This window comes from Homo sapiens, chromosome 11 (genome assembly GCF_000001405.40).
Source record: "Homo sapiens chromosome 11, GRCh38.p14 Primary Assembly".
NCBI lineage: Eukaryota > Metazoa > Chordata > Mammalia > Primates > Hominidae > Homo > Homo sapiens.
Genome location: NC_000011.10, coordinates 99,810,589 through 99,832,032, shown reverse-complemented (window position 1 = coordinate 99,832,032; position 21,444 = coordinate 99,810,589). Strand labels below are relative to the sequence as shown.

Genomic DNA, 21,444 nt, shown 5'->3' with positions numbered 1-21,444 from the left:
CAAGAAGTTTTGCAAAGGAGACAAGGAACTTGAAGATAAGGAACTCAGTGGTTGGCCATTGGAAGTTGACAACAACCAAATGAGAGCAATCATGAAAGCTGATCCTCTTCTGACTACACGAGAAGTTGCTGAAGAACTCAATGTCCACCATTCTAGTCATTTAGCATTTGAAGCAAATTGGAAAGGTGAAAAACCTTAGTAGGTAGGTGCCTCATGAGCTGACTCAAAATTAAAAAAAATAACATTTTGAAGTATCATATTCTCTTATTCTATGCAACAACAATCAACCACTTCTCGATCACATTGTGACATGCAATGAGAAGTGGATTTTATAAGACAACTGATGATGACCAGCTTAGTGGTTGAACAGAGAAGCTGCAAAGCACTTCCTTAAGCCAAATTTGCACCAAAAAAAAAAGTTATGGTCACTGGCAGTCTGCTGCCAGTTGGATCCGCTATAGCTTTCTGAATCTTGGTGATACCATTACATCTGAAAAGTATGCTCAGCAAATGGATGAGCTGCACCAAAAACTGCAACGCCAACAGCCGGCACTGGTCAACAGAAAGGGCCAAATTCTTCTCCACCACAATGCCTGACTGCATGTCACACAAGCAATACTTCGAAAGTTGAACGAATTGAGCTATGAAATTTTGCCTCATTCTCTATATTCATCTGACCTTTTGCCAACCAACTACCACTTCGTTAAGCATCTCAACAACTTTTTGCAGGAAAAACACTTCCACAACCAGGAGGATGCAGAAAATGCTTTCCAAGAGTTTGCTGAATCCTGAAGCATGGATTATTATGTTAGAGGAATAAACAAATTTATTTTTCATTAGCAAAAATGTGTGGGTTCCTATTTTGATTAATAAAGATGTATTGGAACCTAGTTATCATGATTTAAAATTCATGGTCCGAAACCTCAATTCCATTTACACCAACCTAAGATTCACAGGATGCCAAACCAATAGGTCATCTTGTTGAAGGTGGACATTATTCTTTCTCCTTTCCATTTATAATCCAAAATCCACTATTGTGTTCAAAAATATTTAGTAAATATACTATCATGGTATAGAAATTCAGCCTATAGATTTCAAGAAAAATGAAGCAGTCCTCAAATAGGTTCCTGCTTATTTAATATTTGTTAAGCTCCCAGTAACCTTGCACTGCTGTAAGTGCTGAAAGAGAATAAAGAGGAGACTATGAAATGGTATTTGCTCACACCACATATACTTAAATTGGTAAAAAAGCATTTAAGTATAAAATAATAAATGGCTTTAAAATTAAGACTACAATAGCAGAATAAAGTCATAAAGTTTTGATGAATGGTCATAAGACTGTAAAGTTATTATTAGAATATGGTCTCAATTTTTAAATTGGGGAAACTGACATGATGTATTTTATTTAGAAGTGTGTCATCCAAATAAAATACAATTTCCCCCTCCAAGAGAGAATTCTTATTTTCATAAAAGATCACATTTTGTGCTTGTGTCTCTCAAACAATTTATCAGCAAAGAGTATTTTGAGGAAACAACAGAAAATTGTCACCAAAGGGGTTGCTTTGAGTCAGGATGCCATTGCCCATGTGCCAAGTCAAATCTGTTAATAAATCATGTTCATGATAAAATTTAGCCAAAAGTACTGAAGACATAAGGCCACAAATTTGTAAATGCAGGAATCATCCAATTGTCAGAAGACAGTGCTAAAAATTTTAAAAGCTTGCGTAGACACAGAGGGTTTATAAAGTGCAGATTGTGTTTACCATTGAGGGAATTAAAGAGAGCAAAATTATGTGCTTAGCCTTAGTAGAAAAATAATTTGCTTCCTCTAAGGACCACCATTTCCGCCATCAAAAACAGCACTGTAGTCTCTGAATCAGGACAAACAGAAGAACATGCTCCCCGCCCCCGAAAAAAGTTTGACCTATCTAATTTGAATCACTCCTAATCCAGACTGCCTCTCTGCAAAAATAAAATATCTTAACCTAACCATCTCATCACAAATAGAAGAATGAAATGCACCCTACACTTAATTAAGTTTACTCCTACTAAAATCATAACAACAATAAAAACAGATGAAATCAAGGATCAGTTTATATTTATAGAGGGAGGAACAGGTATAGTGTCAGCTCTGGTTAATAATCCTTGCCTATGTCCCCCGAAAGCATATATCCTGCATGTGTCTGAGGTGTTAACTCATAAGAGCTTTCAATTAACCTATGTTACCTTGCATATTTTTACTTTAAACCTTGGTCAATTTTTTAAATCACTTAAATGTCACTCTTTGTACTCAAATAACTACTTTAGAGTAATTATTAACAACTCAGTTGTTCCTTTTTAAACCACATTATACCTCTTAGGTCTATGAAACATTTGCATTGACACAATTTCAAGAGATCAAAGCTATTATCCAAAATAACAGTATCGGGTTGAAAACAGAGTAGATACTGAGGACTTTTCTGGTTGCTCAACGCCAATGAGCAGCACTCACCTTTCCAGGTACTGCTCCATTTCTCTTCTTTATTTTATGAGACTAGCTCAGAAGTTTTTATTCATTGACTATGTGTATCTCTTCACCTCAATCAAGTATCAGTGACTGACTACTGTGCCTTTCTTGATTATTTTCAAACATAAAGCCTGGGGATGACCAAAGTATAACATGTGATGTGAATTCTCTGCCTAGTATGGACCAGTCCACAATATTCACAACCATGTTTTCATCGTCATGCAACACAGTAATTCTGAATGCAGCCTTTTTCTGTACTTCCTAAATGTGGACATATGTATAGCAAATTATGAGATTAACCTCTATCCAAATATTTTTAAGTAGATTAGAATATGTATTTTCATCATTTCAGATCACTAAAAATTTTGATGCTTCTTTAAGTATATCACCAGGGAATATCTTCAAAAGAACAGAGCTAATTAAAATATAACCAAAAGCTTCCTTATTTTTTTTGTAAATCACACTTTTTAAACATCACAACATAATCACTAAATTTGCTCTAAATGGAATAGCTTTTGTTGCTAAAATGATCTAACTACTATGATAAATAATAAAGTGAAATCAGACATGATGTTTTCTAATTCTCGCTGGAAATAGAATATAGCAAGTACAGATACATTCCATGAATATGGGAATATTTTATACAAAAGCTCACATTTAGATGGGATTTGTCATTGTTTAAGACAACTACTATAATCAAATTTAATATCTGTGACTAAAATACATCATCAACATGACCACTGAAGATAAAGATACATGATTTTAATAATGTAAATTCTCTTGAGTGTAGTAAAATAATATATGAAAGGTTCTTTCAGTTTTCCATGTATCTTACTTAAATTTGGATAAAAGCTTCCATGATTATGCATGTGTAAACAAAAACTATTTCATATTCATTGATAATTAACTTTCTATTTAATAAAATAGCATAGGGTATCGGCTATGATTTCAAGGTGCTTCCCTTTAAAATTTATATTAAAAGTTAATTGATATTGTAACAGCATTAAGAGGTGGGACTTTAAGAGGTGGTTAGGCCATTATTGTTGCAATTGCATTATCCATTCTTGCTCTCACTGTCTCTGCCCTTCCATCTTCACCATATGATGACACAGCACGAATGTCCCCACCAGATTCTAGCACTTTGTATCAGACTTCTCTGCCTCCAGAATTGTGAGCCAACACATTTCTGTTCATTTTAAATTACCCAGCCTGTGGCATACTGTAACAGAATCACAAAATGGACTAAGACAGAATGCTATCATTAGTTTACAAAGAAGCAGTAGCCATTATATAAAGGCTCATAAAGTTTTTTTTCACAAATTACTCTTATAATGAGCTATTCACATTACTGATTTAGTACTTGACCAAAATCATTGTACATATCTCTGAAGATCTATATAACTATTATTATTTTATTCTATTTCAAATAGAAAGTATAATACATATGAATGTGCTATACAATCATACTTATCAAATACTTTCAAAACTTTAGAGATTAAAACAATAACTCTCTTGTGATGAGTTAATGTACAGCTTGCACACAGTAGATGGCCAATATCTCCTACAGAAAAAATGTAAAAAGTACATCTCTGTTTAATAAACTTGTACAGATAGTGTTTTATGTTCACAGTAGTAATCCTATTCTACATATGTTATTGACCGATCAAAGAAAAATAGTCGAGAGAGCTGCGTAAAAATTTGCGTCACAAACATTCAGAAAGCATTCTGATTACTGTTAACATTATACTATAGAGAGGTAAAGTAATTGTATAAAGGAGCCATTCAAGCTACTTTTTAGAGCCAATCTGTTAATAAGCCTCTAAAAATATTTGTTAAAATATTGGAAACAAAGCTATGTGTAAGTTATTACAGATATACACTTTGTCTCTATGAAAATGTTTCTGGGCCAAAACAGACCTAACAAAAATATGTGTTATCACTATATGCTGCTCATGTTTCTTCTGGAATTTACTCTAACAATTTAGTCTAGTCTTGTTTTAAATTTTACCTTTTAATTTAGTCCCACATGGTTGGAATTCTATAATGGATTCAGGCTATTGCTGTTATAATGCTGAAAACATTTCAGGACACACAGAAGACAATTAGACATAATAAAACTTAAAAAGAACCAATGAATGGGCTGGGCACAGTGGCTCATGCTTGTAATCCCAGCACTTTGGGAGGTCAAGGTGCGTGGATCGCCTGAGCTCAGGAGCTCGAGACCAGCCTGGACAACATGGTGAAACCCTATCTCTACCAAAAAACACAAAAATTAGCTGAGTGTGGTAGTGTGTGCCTGTAGTTCCAGCTACCAGAGAGGCTGACGTTAGAGAATCGCTTGAACCCTGGAGGCAGAGATTGCAGTGAGCCAAGATCAGGCCATTGCACTCCAGCCTGGGCCACAGAGTGAAGCCCTGTCTCGCATTAAAACAAACAAAAACAAAACAAAACAAAAAGCAAAAAACCAATGAACACAGCTGCTCTGACCAAATATATCTATGTGGAGAGACTCTAGTAGAATACAGGGTGATGAACTATTATTTTCTCTTTATCTCTGCTACTACTGCTTTCCTTGAAATAATTATCAGTTTTTTCCTTTATAAATGTGAAAGCATCTTTCTGATCCCCCCCTTACTTCCTTCCTCCCATGAGAGAGACTTTATTATTATTTTAAATCTGCATGCTCAGAGGTCTCACAGGCAACTGCTGCTAAAAAGATTCCACTGATTAATGGAGGCTTGCTGTTAACACAGATAAAATTTTTAGACTCCTTAATAAGAAGCCTATTTATAATTTCATTGCAGCCATTCATACTTTGCTACAACTATAATATATAACGTGCAGTTTCCTTAAACATAGGAGTGTTCTCTCTTACCCCTTTGCCATTGAACACATGATTTCTTTTATCTATAATGTACTTCTACACATGCAATATATTTTAGATCCAGTATCACTTCCTCAATTTTGCTTCACCCGATCATACAACACAGGTTAAATTTGATGCCTCTATTCTATGTTACCAAATAATACTGTACCTCTGTCATGATACCTATAACAACAGGTTGGATGCCTTTTGTGTGTACGTATGTGTGTCTGTTTCTGTGAGCATGTGAGGCTACAGTACATTGAAAGGTGTGGACTTGCAAAGATGAAAGAAGGCAGATATAGCTTCTTGACTGTGAACTTAGTTAAGCTATTCCCAGGGAAAGTGACTGAATCTCAATAGCCCCAACAGAACTGTAATGCCTCAAAATGTCATTATAAGACATTTTAAAGACATTATAAGACATAATAAAAATACTTCCTTTCCACATGTACTTGCAAAGAAAACCAAAAATTACAACATAGATAAAAAATTCTATATTGCAAAAAAAAGCCAAAGTCAATAATAGGAATAAGAACTTATCCCAGATAAAATACACTTATATCTATCAGGACTTTAAAATAAATATGCTTACGATACTCCAAAGTACAAATTCAGGAATGGACTTCCTTAAACTAAGTAAGCATATATAACACAAAAAAGTGTAGAAATGAAGAACAGACGAATCAGAAAAAGAGCTGGATTTTGCACATTTGAAAAGAAAGATGTTGTATTTTCTCTGAAATTATAACATTTCTATATTATATTTTCTTTTGAATTGTCTCTTAAGTGCTGGGTGAATAAGCAAAAATAAATTTACTTTTAGAAAGTACATAGTAAAGGTACAAAATGGCAAGCATTAGAAAAAAATAACTTCCACAGGGAAGTCTATTAACAAAGGAAATAACAACTAGATTGATAAACTTGCCCGCTACAAAAGAGGCCAGCAGATACTTAAAGTACAAAGGGAACATAACTATCAACCTAGAAATTTTACACTTTCCAAAACCATCTATCACTCAAGAGTAATGGCAAAATATATTTTCAGACAGATAAAGACTAAGATAGTTTGTCACAGTGATATCCTTTTTACCACAAAATATGCTTCATCCAAAAAGTGAACACAGAGAAAAATTATAAGAAATTATGACTATAGATAGTGATGTTACAGAAAATATAATTAAGTATTGATTTTTAAACATATTTTTGTGAATAAGGTAAAATTAGTAAAAGAGAAAACACTAAAGGACGCATATGTTTGAAACAACAAAATTATCAAATAATGTTATACTTGAGAAATTTCTTAATTTCATTAGTGATAATCACTATAGACTAAGTTAATGGTAATCACAAAAGAAATAGGCATATGATGCAAAAAAAATACAAGAGAGAGGAATTACATATAGAAAACAGTCTATCTAATGTAAAGCAAGGGAAAAGCGAAAACATCCTAAAGAAATTAAAGAGTCTGGCAGATACTGGCTACTTTTAACCAAACCTTTTCTGTTTTCCTCCTAAGCACACAAGCAATTTTTACAAACTATTTTTACAAGCAATTTTTCCAAATATAGTATCTAACACATACTATTAGACAACGCCATATGAGCAAGAACTAACAGAAATAACAGACAACAGTAACAGATTGATAGGGCTCTATATACCAACTTAACAAACACTATGCTATTCTTACTATATTATTATTTTCGAGGAGACAAAAACTGTATGAGATCTAGGAATAAGCTTAAAGATGTGAAAAATGTTTTCCAAAAAATTAAACCATGTTACTGAAGGATTTAAAGTATATTTTTAACATATATAAGTGAGTGGTTTCACAAATCAGTGGAGATCACTGACATTGGTTAATACATACCACTCCAAAAATGGAAAACAAATAAAATCAGGTAATTACTTCATATTACATACAAAAATAATTTCATGTGGTTTAAACACCTAAATATGAAAATCAAAATTTAAATTTGGAAGGAAATAAAAATTTAAGGTAAAAAGGGTTTTTTTTAGGACATGAAAAGCACAGACTACAAAGGAAAATATTGCTATATCTCATTACACAAAATCAAAAAATTCTGTTTAACAAAAGGTACTACTGACAAAGTAAAAAGTTAAGTTACATTCTGAGAAAATATATCCGCAATGCATTTAACCAGTGACCAACTGATTTGTAAATTTCCTACAGTTAAATGTAAGTAAAATATTCTAACAGAAATAACAGTCAACATATATGAATAAGAAATATGCATTAGAAAAAACCAGAATGTCCAATATTTACATGAAATTTCAACCTCACTAGTCAAGAAAATGCAAACTAAACCACAATAAAATGGTATACTATACTCAAGAGATTGCCAAAAAAATTTTATGTTGGTGACAATGTGGAGAAATACGAACACCTATACAATAATGTTGGTAGAAGTGTCAATCACTTTGGAAAGCAATTTGACAGTATCTGGAAATGTTACAATGCTTTTATATAAAAATTGCACTCCTAAAATACTTATAATACAATTACCAATGAGGCATGAAAAAATCCATTTGACATGTAACAATGTAAAATTAAAACAACCTAAATATTTACAAAAAGGGAATGAATAAAGAAACTGTAATTGAGTCCTAGTGTGGTATGCTTTACAGGAAATGAAATGAACTTAGAACTGAAGATACCAAGATACATGAATCTCTAGGATATAATGTTGATCCAGAAAAGGTGGATCATGACTGATATACACAGTATCATTGACACAAAAATTTTAAAGAACAGTACATGTACTTTATAGGCTTCACACATATAGAAATATAAATATATGCATGTAAATGACAAAATAAGTATAGTAATTCCTCTAAGAGTGGAGAAAGTGTGAGACACAATCCAAGCAAAATACTCAAGAACTCTCAAATTTAATTTTATGTCAAAAAATACTGAAACAAATTTGGAAAAATATTAAAGTTTAATAAACTTAATATATAGTCACAAGACACTTTCATGAAATTATTATTTCCTTTATGTTTTCAATATTTGACAATTTCTAATGTAATGAATAAAGAATAATACATTTAATATAAACTATGAGCACTTAAAATAGTAGGACAATTGGAATTATATCTCTTCTAATTGCAGCATTTGCCTTTTTTTTTCAGATTTTCTCTGTAGCATCTGTTTATATAACAAACAGGACTAAAAAGTAGGCCTTGTAGAAAATATAAAGGAGAACAAAGAAGAATGCATAATCAAGACCTGAATAAACAAATCTGGGCTGAATGTAGGAACTGGCTTCCTAGAAAAGAATACCAACCTGTTGAGATAATCACAAGATGACACAGCAACTTAAAATAGATGAAACATATAAAGGAAACTTTAAAGCTATGAAACTATGAGAATGATTTTCTGCAGAAATATAGAATTACAGTTAAAATAGTAGAAAGGAAACCCAGAAAATGAACAAAGATTATGTGTTTATTACCTCACAGCCTTCGTGGGTCAGGGAAGCAGGTGTGGCTCAACCCTTGCTCTGTGTCTTTCAAAAGGTGGGAGGCTGTCTCATCCCAATGTTCGAATAGGTACGGATACACGTGTAAACTCACTCACGTGACTACTCATAGGATTCAAATTCCTTAGGGGTGTTGAACTGAGTCCTTCACTTACTCTTGGGCTGTTGGCCAGAGGCCACTCCCAGTGGGCCTGTCAATAGGACAGCTCTCAGCACGAGCTGACTTCCATTAATATGAGCAAGCCAGAAAGCAAAAAAGACAAACAAGATGGAAGCCAGTGGCTTTTGTAACCCATTGTTGGGAGTCATATCCCATTACTTTATTTATAATCTATTCTCCAGAGGCAAGTTAATAGCCATAGCCAACAGATAAAGTGAGAGATTACATTGTAAATGCCAAGTGAGAATTACTGTGAGACATTTTAGTGTCTAGTCACTACAGGAGTTATATTTATTTCAGATTTTTTCTTTCAAGAAATAAAGTATCAGTAAGTTGAGATAATGTATATACCCTCTCCTGGTACTTATTTCCTGCTCTCATTCTCCCTTTGTCCGCAGTGGTAAGCACTGCAGTCAACCTGCTATCTCAAGTTCATGTTTTAAAATTATACCACTTATGTGTATCCATAAATAGGATATATTTTTCCATTGTTTTACATAAGTGATATCATATTATATATAATACTCCATAACTTACCATGTTCACTCTCTATTTTGAGGTCTATCCATTTTCTTTCTATTCACTTTAACAGTTTTAGTTCTCCATTAAATAAAAATAATACAACGTATCCATTCCCCTTCTGATGGACATCTGTTTCCAACCTTTACTCTTAAACATATTGTGGTGAAGATGCGTTTTATTTCCTCGTACTTGTATGGGAAGGTTTCTCCAAGTTGTATATCCGGAAGTAGAATTGCTTCCCCAAATTGCTCTGTAAGCTGAGTCTTTATATTTTTCATAAAAATCTTTGCTCTGTCTGGGGTACTTCTTGGCTTAACTCTGAACAGGAGTGGGATGACTTTCTATTCAGGCTCTGTTACTTTTCTCATTTTTCGTAAGAGCATGTCAACCTCAGCTTTACTCTCTATTAAGGCTAAAGGGAATTACCTGACAAAAGCCATACGTCAGACTCTTGTCAGAGAAAAAGAACTCAAAGTCACATCTAGCTAAGATTTATAAAATGCTCAGAAGAGAAAACAGTAGTTATGGAAGATTACTTGGAAAATACTCAGATTATCCATTCTTCCTTATACTCTAAAATATGGATTAAACTAGATTAGCAGAGGACCAAATGATATTAAATTGGTTACCAGCCTAGAGCCTTGCCACTCAGTAAGTATCATCCACAGATCAGCACCATCACCATCACCTGGGAGCTTTTTGTAAGTGGTATTCTCTTGCCCTACCTCAATCTTTGAAGGGGGGTCTTATTTTAATGAGGGTTTTATCTGTAAAGATTGAGGAGCACAGTTTTAGAGAATTACTACTTCTCATTTTGTTGTTTCTGTTTGGGTTTCATCTGCCTTTATTGAAACAGATGAAACTCATTATTATGGGTACAGTAAAAGTAATGTTCAGGTCACTTGCCATTATATCGAATAATAAACTCCTAATGATGATCTTCCAGAAAAAAAAAATTGTCTAATCAAAGTGTCAGAGAGTTGTGCTTTTACTGAATAACAATTCTATTTTAATATTTGAAATACTGTGAAATATGTAACTGACCAGATTTTCTTTCTTTTCTGTCTGCTAATTACCCAAAATAGGATCAGCTCACAGTAGGTGTACAAGCATTAATAGTAGACACCTTGAATTGTTGTCACAGCTGGCTCCATCTTATGTCCCAATATTTATTGTTCTCATCATTTTCATGGATTTGAATTCATACTTATATTGACCATTGTGACTACCTTAACTTCCATTTGATACAAGAGAACAAAGAGGCAGAACACTAGTTGGCTGAAAATTATACCGACTATACAAGTAGATCACAGTTCTGATCACTTGATTTTCTACCTTAATGCCACTCCACAAGATAATAATGCCTAAAGAAAATATGTTTCATATTAGGCTTAAGGTAATAGAAAGTTAAAAACTTATATTAAATGTAAGTACTTTGGAAAATAAAACATTTCTGGAGTTCTAACATCATGCTTACATACAACTTAGATGCCAACACTACGAGACAATGCTGCACATGGCAACAATTGGTATAATCACAAAGGATAAGTTTGCCTGCACCTGGCACCACAACCTAATAATTGACATTCCCAGAATCTTTCCAATATCTTAGTTCCTTCGAGATGTATCTTTGAATGTTTATTCTTTCATCAGTCATAAATGAAATGCAGCCTAAGTGTACTAGTCTTAAAATCATTGTTGATGTGAATGAAAATTAGCTATGATACCTATTAGCAGTGTGACCTTGTGAAAAATACTTATCTGTCCCAGAGTTTTCATTTCTATAGAAGGCAGTAACAATATCTACTTCACATATGTGTTGAGAAAACTGAATGGCATATCTATATAAAATAGACTGGATAGAGACTAGTAATAACAGGTGCCGTTCATCCTGCTGTTAATGAACCAGGCATTATTTTGTCGATGGATCCAAAAATGACAAAGGTAGACAACATCTAGAAAATGTTATTCAAACTATAAAGCCAATAGCTGTAGAGCAGTCTTTAATTTAACTGATATCTTAGTGTTGGATATATAGATTTTTTCTTATTTTCCATTCATAAGTAATGCTAAGTATATACTTATCTTTGCGTGCTCTCTTTATTATTTTCTTACACAGAATACACTTCCAGAAATAAAACCACTGGATTGAAGGATAGGTCTGTTTTATGTTTCCGATATTCACTGTCAAATTGGCCTTCCAAAAATGTCTATTTTTACTTTCATTCTACGAGAGTATTTAGTCTTAATCCTAAATTATAATTGGTATAGAGTGCAATTACATAATAATGCATACAAATCCTTTAAAGATGTTTAGAAAAGAAGACTAACTTACAACCAACACAGGCTCTTGTCATTTTTATAACCCAGTAGTGTCTGTCTCAAGGCCTGGGAGCTCTCCATTTGAAATGAAACCATCAAGAAACAGGTTCTCTATCTCCCAGTCTCTATGAAAAGGTAGTAGCCTAACTTCAACAAGCACCAATCAATAAACACAGATGGCCTAGTCACATTTACCAGTATCTCCCCTAACATCCTCCAGTTTTCTACTAGCTCACCCCAGCTTTAAAAACTCTCCTGCTTTCATTTTTAGCAGAGTTGAGTTCAATCACTCTCTCCTACTGGAATAGTCTTGATCTCTGTTGCAACAGTATTAAATAAGTCTTCTTTGCCTCCTTTATTCTATCTGGAGCCATTTTCCTTTGACACTTACCATCTTGTTTGAAGGCATCTGAGGAATGATAAAGATTGATGGGGGAATAATAATTCTGAGCTGCCCCTAGCCAGCTGGGTGAAGAAGCACTCAGTGTTCCTAATGAAGGGCTGCTGTATCGTGGTCTGGTTTTGGAACCAAAGAGAGATGAAGATGAACTCTTCTTAATTCTTAACAAAGCAGCATATGAAGTGGAGAGACCAGGAAGAGATTTTGAATACTCTGTAAGAGAAAAAATATAATAAAATCTGAATTTTGAGGAAACTAGTTTATTTTTTTCTTATGAAGATTGTTTCTTTGAAGACATTACTAAAAACCTTCTTTGGAGCTGCAAGCAAATTCAGATTACAGTGAGAGTGTGAAAAAATGTTACTTTTATATTTTTTAATATTTTCTGAAAATTCTACTAGCTATAATATTAAGGAAAGGAGGGGAGGGGAGGGGAGGGGAGGAGAGGGGAGGGAAGGGGAGGAGAGGAGAGGGAAAAGGAAAAATGATGGCAGAAGGGAAGGAAGAAAGCAAGTAGAGAGAGAGAGGTAAGTAGGAAAGAAGGGAAGACAGTCAAAAGCCCAAGCTTTATACTTTGTCAGGAAAATTTGTAAATTAACTTTTAAAAGTTTACCTTAATATTACAATACCCATTCACATAGATCAGTTCTTTCCTTATTATTAAAATGCAGTGAGGAAACCAACATTTCACTTATATTCTACAAACATAGATAGGAACTTCATTTACTAAAATTTATTATGTAGTATGAGGTGTGTTCAATGTAGCACATGTGTTTTAACTAGGCTCTAAGTAATACCTCATGTTCTTGAAAAGTAGTCAAATTCACTCTGGTACATAAAAAAATGAATGAAATTTATTTTCTAGGTTTTATTATCTAATGTGTACAGATTAATACTATTAAGTGGGGAAACAATGATGAAATTTTCATTTTTATTGATTATTGATAAATTTCATATTTTAATTCCTAAGGTGTTTGGTTAGAAAGGTTGAGCATCCTGCCTAAAATGGATTGAACTAACTTTCCTTTATGTCCATAAGAAACAATAAGTTTAGTATATGGATCAAATTTTTAAAAATACAAACTAATTATGATGAACTCTAAAGAGAAATAAGGAATTGGAAATTTTTTATATGTACAGTATCAATTAAGCTGGACAATTTGCTGATCTTGGAAATACTTCTAAGACTCTGGCAGTTTGTGGCCAGGCACGTCGGCTCATGCCTTTAATCCCAGCACTCAGGGAAGCCGAGGTGGGAGAATGACTTCAGCTAGGTGTTTAAAACCAGCAAAAGCAATAAAGTGAGACCCCATCTACACAAAAAGTACAAAAAGTTAGCCACATGTGGTGGCACATGCCTGTAGCTCCAGTTACTGGGGAAGCTGAGCTGGGAGGATTGCTTGAGCCTGGGAGGTTTAGGCTGTAGTGAGCTGCGATCATGCCACTGTACTCCAGACTGGCAACAGGGCAAGACCCTGTCTCAAAAAAAAAAAAGGTAGTTTTGTTCAGAGTATCTGGCCTTTAAACTTAATAATCATTGCTAACTAAATTTTTGATTAAAAAAAGTATCACTGTAAGTAAGCTTTCTCATAATTAATTAAAATTATTTAGAATAATTATGCTGTCTTACAGAGATATTTTAGAATGCAAAAAGCATTTTTCTATGATTTGAAAATAACACTTTAGGTGTTAAGCATCAAATTAAGTTTAATATTTTCTGTTCTGTGAAGCTGTAAATATGATTTCTCTGAAACTCTAAAAAGTATATTTTTAGATGTTTTCCACACTTAAAATGAGCATGATATGTGTAGCCCAAGACCATCAGGAGGTGTTAAGAGATTCATGTCCTTGACTCTTTGCTGGTCAACCACAAGTCTGATGAAGGTGGATCAATTTTAACTGAAAAGAGTTAACCTCCCTTGGGCAAACTATATGTGAACAGATTATGGGTAGACATAAAGTCTCCTTTAAAACATGGAATTAAATGCAAGTTTTGGCACCTAGAGGTGTAAGGTAATGAAAAGTGAATGAGTTTTCCTTTAAGGTAGTTTGTAGTTGTAGTTTCTGAACGTATTCATTTCTCAGTGCAATCTATTGCTTTGTGTTTTAACTCTCTGCCCTGCTCATTTATAAAGGAAAAAAAAAAAAAAAAAAAAAAAACTATCCCAGACTAGTATTAACAATTACAGTGAAGTATGATAATGTGGTTTATAGTTCTTAAAGCCAGATAAGAATAATCAATGAAAAACTTGAAAAGTAGAAAGGCCATAGTAAGGTTTAAAAAGGCCAGGAACATCATTGTGGCTATAAATCTTATACATATTTTAACCAAATACTAAGTGGTACACAAATGGGCTTGTGCCACTCCATACAGAGATGAGCCAAATGCTAATTTGGCTAAGCGCACTACGCCAGGTCTTCCTTTGTTATGTAATCAGTTTTATCTGTTGCAGTAAAGATTCCCTTTTCATCAATTAATGTGAACGCAAAGCTGTTACTAGAAATGTGGCAATTGATTCATTCATTCATTCAAGCATTCATTCAACAAACATGTGATAACAACTTAGTAGGTGCCAAATGCTAGGGAAACAAAAGTGAATAATCCTGCCCTAGCCCTCAAGGAGCTACGATCTAGTGGGGAAAAAAGGCAGTATTCATACAATGTTAGTATCATGTGATATAAAAGTAAATTCAAGGACCTATGGGCTCCCCGCATGGGTAGAGAAAACTCTCATTCAGCTTTAAGTCATCAGAAAATGCTTTCCAGTGGATATTCTATCTAAACTGAGTCCTGAAAGTTCATTAGTGATTAGCTCAGTCAAGTCTTCAGTAGGGAAAGAAAGATACTCTAGACAGGGAAGAAAATATATAAAAACCTTGAAAGTAAAGGCACCATGGCCTGCTTGGTGGATTAAAATAGGAGCGCAGGGTATTATGAGGGAGAGAGGTGGGAGGACATGTAAGGCTGAATAAGTAAACAAGGTGCCGATGATGAAACGTCTAGCATGTCATGTTAAACTGGTACAGCTTTGAAAGGAGAGCAACGTAAGTTCTAGATCACTCTGGCTGTAGTGCCATATTTGAACAAGACCAAATAAAGATGACTCAAGGGTCTAAAGCTGTAATATAGGCAAAGATTGGTCAGAAATGGGGAGATAATACGTATGGGAATAGTAAATAAGATTATTGGTTTATTTGATTGGAGGCACTAAAGAAAAGTGAAAAATCAGGCAAGGTTGCCTCCACTAGAAGATAGGTAAGAATGAAGGAAAAGGCAAGAGCTTGAGGTAAAGGCTCATGAATTCAGTTTTAGACACATGGAGAGCCTATGGTGCCTCCAGGACATTCATGTTGATGTTAAGATTCTGCAGACGTAAGGAAGACGCAGGTTCGTCAGAGAGATTATGAAATGGTAACCAAATAGATGGTTATTGAAACTGAGAATAGACAAGCTTGCCAAGGAAGTATGTGAAATAAGAAATAGGGTGTTGAAAATGGAATTTTGACCAACATTAGCATTTTTTTTGAAGAAAAGCAGAGCTACTCGAATCTGGAAAGGGAAGGAAAAAAGTAGGAAAGTGGAATGTCACAAAGTGAAAGGAAGCGAAAGTCTTTCAATACAGACAAGGAAGCATTCAATAGTTTTGAAGATCAGTGTTCTCTAGCTATAGTCTATTAATAGTTGAATTTAAATTGGGGGTTAGAGAGGTTAGTCTGTTAAAATAATTGATGGTGAAGGGCAGTGTAGTTGAAGGCTCACTGAAGGAAGTGAATAATGTTATGGACCACGGACTCTAACCCGGTGAGGGAGGGAATTGAAGAAATAGATGCAAGGTGCAGAAACTGAAAGGGTGTTAAAATCAGTCTATTTTAAGTATTGAAGGAGTTGGGATCCTAGACAAAAAGAGATGGAATAATAAGATGAAATAGACAGAAATGCCAATACTTGAATTTCAACAGAGAAAGTGGATTCAGTTATGTTTCATCCTCAACAGAGACCCACTTTTGTTAAATCAATTCAAGTGGATTAGGTGTGGAGAAGATGGTCCTGCAGAGGGTGTGCACACAGCAGTATCATAGCTTCCTGCCTGCTCCACACAGGGCACTGCACACAGATTTCAGTAAAAGTGAGTTCAGACATAAGGGATGAAGAGGCCTTTTCAAGATCTGGACATGGTCTGGAACCCCCTGCATTACCATTTCCATTCTATTTGACAAATAAGCCCAGTCCTTAGAAAGTGGCTTTCATCAGTCGTATGGTCTTAGTGCAACTGATTTACAGTATTGTGGGGTCTCCTCCTCTCTCAGGGATATTTTTAACTCTCCAACTTGGTGCCCTCTTAGCTGCCCAGCCCTTTTCTATGACATATCCTCAGAGTTTCCCCACTCCTCAGTCTTAGTTCTGAGGATTCTCATCTCTGAAAATATATTAGCATAAATAAGTGGGAAATGTTGTTTCATTGATAGGACTTTATCTAACGCTCAACTTTGTGAGACTAAATTAAATTAACAAATGCAGAAATCTGTTGAGGGTGGAATATAGCTGCATCCCCTTGCTACATTTAAGTGTGTTTTTCTGTACATCTTATATTATTTAATATGGTTAGACTTTGTGTCCCCACCCAAATCCCATCTTGAATTATAATCTCCGTAATCCTCATAATCCCCAGGTGTGAAGGCAGAAACCAAACGGAGGTAAATGAGTCAGGGGGGCAGTTTCCCCCGTGCTGTTCTTGTGATAGTGAGTTCTCATGAGAGCTGATGGTTTTATAAGTGTTTGTCAAGATCCACCTTCAGTCAATTCTCTCTACTGCCACCTTGTGAAGAAGGTGCCTGCCTCCCCTTTGCCTTCCATCATGATTGTAAGTTTCCTGAGGCCACGCTAGCCACATGGAGCTGTGAGTCAATTAAATCTCTCCCTTATAATCACTCAGTTTGGAGACGTTCTCTATAGCAGGGTGGAGACAGACTAATACATAATTTCATCTCTTTCTGTTTGGCATCTCAACTACTTCAAGACCTACAATCTACTGATCCTAACACTCTTTCACTCTCTTTCACCCTGCTCTCATTTCCTCAACTCCCTCCATTTCCAGGTTAAAGTTCATAATTCGTAACCTTACTCAATTCCTTCAATGCACCTTCAGGCACACTGCTCTTCACCCTGGACTGTTTTTTTCCCAGGCTAACTCTCTCCCCTGCTAATTTAAGTCCAACTGTCGACACACTCTGTAGCCAAAGAATACAGTATCATGCTGAAAGAACTCAATGTGTGATAACTGACTTCCAGTGGGCTTTGTGAGATTCCAAGAAACACTACTTCATTTTCCTGGTCCATTTACTCTCCCATAATACAGGATGGATAATTAACATCTTAGCCTCTCTCCTCAAACCCATACCTTTCTGACCTTCTTGATGGTGCTGCTTTCTATTTTATTAAGAAAATAGAGGCAATCAGAAGAGACAGTCCCTCACATGCTCCCACCATCTGCCTGTACACGCATACACTCAGCCTTGTTTCATTAATATGAGCTGAGTCACATGAATGATGTCTGTACATCTCTTAAAGGCCAATCCCTGTATTTGTGTATGTTGAATTCCATTCCATCTTCACTGTTCAAGGACATCTCTCCAGATGATTCCTTCTGTCTCTCTTTCAGCATCAATTTTTTGTATGCTTGTTAGAATGTTCTCATAACTATATAAAAAGTTCTCTTTTAAATAAAATTATCATGACCTTATCATTTCTCTCACCTAATTTTTATTACAACAAGACTCCTTAGAAGTGCTGTATATGGTAAAAGTATTCAATTATTATCCCCCCTTCTTCCCTTGAACTTTTATAAGATCTCTTGCTTATATCATTCCACAATGTCTCTCTTTAAAGATAAAAATTACCAAGATATTGCTAAGTTTAAGGACCATTTTTTGCTACATTAAACCTATTAGGAGTGTATGACACAGTTATTTCTTTTTCCTTTGAATATTGTCTTTATGTAATTCCAAGATACCACAACCTTATGTCTTTATCCCTATTTCACTGGAAACTTTTTATCTCCTTTTCTAGTTCTTTGTCTCCTCAATGTTGGCACACCCTAGGAAACATTTTTCTCTATCTAAAGTACCCTTTAAATGATCAACTCCCTCCCAGAGGAATTTCATCTTTAGTCTCAGTTACTTGAACTCACTTCTGTCTTTGATATTCCAATATTTTCCTATGCTCTTTTAAACTCCTACTTTTAGTAAAACAAAACAAAACAAAACAAAAACCTCTCTACTCTCTTTTTGTGGTTTTGCTTCAGATCCTAACAATTTCCACACTTCTGTCATGGAAAGGTGTCTTCTAAGATAGACCATTTGGTAAATCATACTCAGGATTCAGAAACTGTTTTTATTCATCACCCCAAGAGCTGTCACTTAAAGAAATAGCAGAGTAGGTTTGATCTAAATTTTAGGCTCAGAATTCAGAGGCTCAGTGAAATAGAAATATTGAGTGATGCTCTGATGGGGTCTGGACCAGACTCCTTGTACACATAATCCCTCGCATTCTTTCAGCAACCTCTAACATTCTTTTTTCCAAGTTTTCTCATTCAACCTTCACTGATATTTTTTCAATAACTTTTTAATGAATGCCTACGATGGGTTAGGAACAGGTGATATGGCCATGAATAAACCACAAATGATACCTGACTTGTGGAATTTACAATCTGGGAGTATTGGTGGAGGATTTTACCAATTGGTAAATTGGTAAGATTTTACCAGTTGGTAAAATATTAGTAGAGGAACATTAAACAAACAAAATTATTCTAAAAATTTATAAAACCAAGAACTATAATACATGTAATAAACATAAAGGAGAAAAAAAAAGCAGAGTGCCTTTGAATGAAAACTTGCCAACATCTTGTATTCTTACAGTACCGCCATCATCGCTCAGTTCCTGGGAATAAAAGCTCCACGCTTGGCTACGATGCATATATCCTCCTCCTCCATCTTGGCCACGCATTTTACTGAATGAAATTTTTGGGTGAGATTAGCTCTGTCAGTAAATCTGTTTGCAATAGAGGTTCCAAAGTCAGATGGCATGAATTCAAATCTAGATTCCACATCGTAATATCTCTGTGCCTTTGAGCAAGAGAGGAATAGCTCTGTGATTTAGCTTCCTTGACTTTAGATTGAGGATAACAACAGGAATTCCCTCATAGATTGTTGTAAAGATCAAATAAAGTAATATACAGAAAACAGTTGAAACTATGCTTGCCTGATAGTAAGAACTCAATACATTTTCTATATTATTTTTTGTTATTATTATCTAGAGTTTAGTTATTATCCTGTACCACTCTTGTGGGTATAACTGAATACTGAGTTTACCCTTTCCAGCTTTGACTGGGTCACAAAATGAGAATATGAATACCGAATTGTCATATTCATTTTACCCTGAGGAACTGAAAAAGTGAAGAGCAGAAAGGAAATGATTACATTTTTTATTTTCCTAACAGGTGTATTCCCAAAAACAAATTCTAAAAGAAAAGTTTTGGATATGAATAGACTCTATATATCTACAGAAAACTCCACAAGTATATATTCTTGTGATTCTATTGGCTAGAGCAACATGTACCCATCTTTTCTCCATATTCCTGTTCAGGGTTTGAAAGGAAGAACTCAGTGTGTGATAACTGACTTCCAGTAGGCCTTTTGAGTTTCCAAGAAATACTACTTCACTTTCCTGGTCCATTTATTCTCCCATCATACAGGACGGATAATTAGCATCTTACCCACTCTCCTCAAACCCATACCTTTTTCTTTTCAGAGAAAAATTTTCATCAGTTGCTCAGTCTTTTAATAAATAACTATGCTGAAGATGTCAGCTAAATCTAGTTACATGTTAATCATTTCTTTTTCTATTTTCTCACTTTTTGTAGGTTAGACCTTAGGGAGCATGTGTTAAAGTTATTTCTAAAGTGGCCCAGAGATTTTGTGATAAAACTCAATTAACCTGGTGCTCTCACACCATGAAATTCCAGCTGGAGGTTGGGTAGGAGTAAATATTAATACCTTCATTAAATATTTCCTAATATAATGACCCTGGGACAACTGAACTTGCATTATTTAATAAAACTGTACTCCATTAAGTCAGAATGACATTGCCACCACTTTCAGTCCTTGGAACTAATAGCATTCTTTTCCATTAAATAAAAGGTCATTTTAGAGATCATAACATTGCCATCCAATGTAAATAATATTAACAAAATATTAATATTATAAATATAATAGTTATAATATTAAAATATAAATATTATAAATAAAATATTAACAAAATAATGGATTAGAATATGCAGAACTAAAATTCTTTATGGCAATATTTATGAAGAAGATAAAATAAAATGTCAATATGATAAAAATATATTTTAAAGTATTTAATCACTTGCTATCATCAAAATATTCCTGAATTTTCTGACACCAATAAAACTTCAGAATTCTATTTCCGTCCCTAAATATGAGAGGTATGTTTACAAGAAAATTTACCGCTCCTAAAATATTGATTGATAAAACTGTATTATCACTATTGGACTCTGTATCTGAATCTTTTCTATCGACTCCCGACACAATGCTGTTAAGTTTTACTGGTACAGAAGAGTGAGCAACACCCACAAGTCATGAAATGACAGATATTCATATAAATCATGTATTCCCTACTTTTGAAGTTTGATTTTAAATGTCTGTTTAGGCTCTTGTGTAAAAATATAAATAAATTATAGTACCAAATGATGTGTGATGCTCTTGAGAGCATAATATTCTTGAGAATATTCCATCATCAACTTATATGTCAGACAGCAAAGAGTGGCACTATGTATTCATGACAGAGTATACAGAAAAAAACAGAAGACATACAATATCCAAGCCTGCAGTGTGACTCCATTTGGCATCAAAGTCAGCATAAAGAAATCTGATACCTGACCTTTTTCAAAGTAATTGCTAAGGCTGTCCTCTCTTTGATGAGAATTAATGTTAACTCTGCAATTTTGGCCTGCTACTGTTTTATGAAGCTTGCAAGGATGGATGAAACACCTCAGCAAAGCCAGTCGTGTGGAGAATATTTAGAAATGGTTAATAATTTACAAATAATGTGCATCATTTCAATTTGGTTGTCTGCATCTATGGCATATGAGA

At 34.5% G+C, this 21,444-nt stretch overlaps 1 protein-coding gene across 12 annotated transcripts in view; it reads right to left on the bottom strand.

Annotated features, from left to right (window-relative positions):
- The window catches only part of CNTN5 (contactin 5), a 1,337,937-nt gene that overhangs the window by 526,853 nt on the left and 789,640 nt on the right, over positions 1-21,444 (bottom strand). For 8 of the 12 annotated variants that reach the window (XM_017017926.2, NM_014361.4, NM_001243270.2 and 5 more), the window contains one exon: positions 12,268-12,489. The exons of the other annotated variants lie outside the window; for them this stretch is intronic. In XM_017017926.2, coding sequence (XP_016873415.1) covers positions 12,268-12,489 — 222 coding nt within the window. The remainder of the gene's footprint in view (positions 1-12,267; positions 12,490-21,444) is intronic. 12 annotated transcript variants of the gene reach the window in all.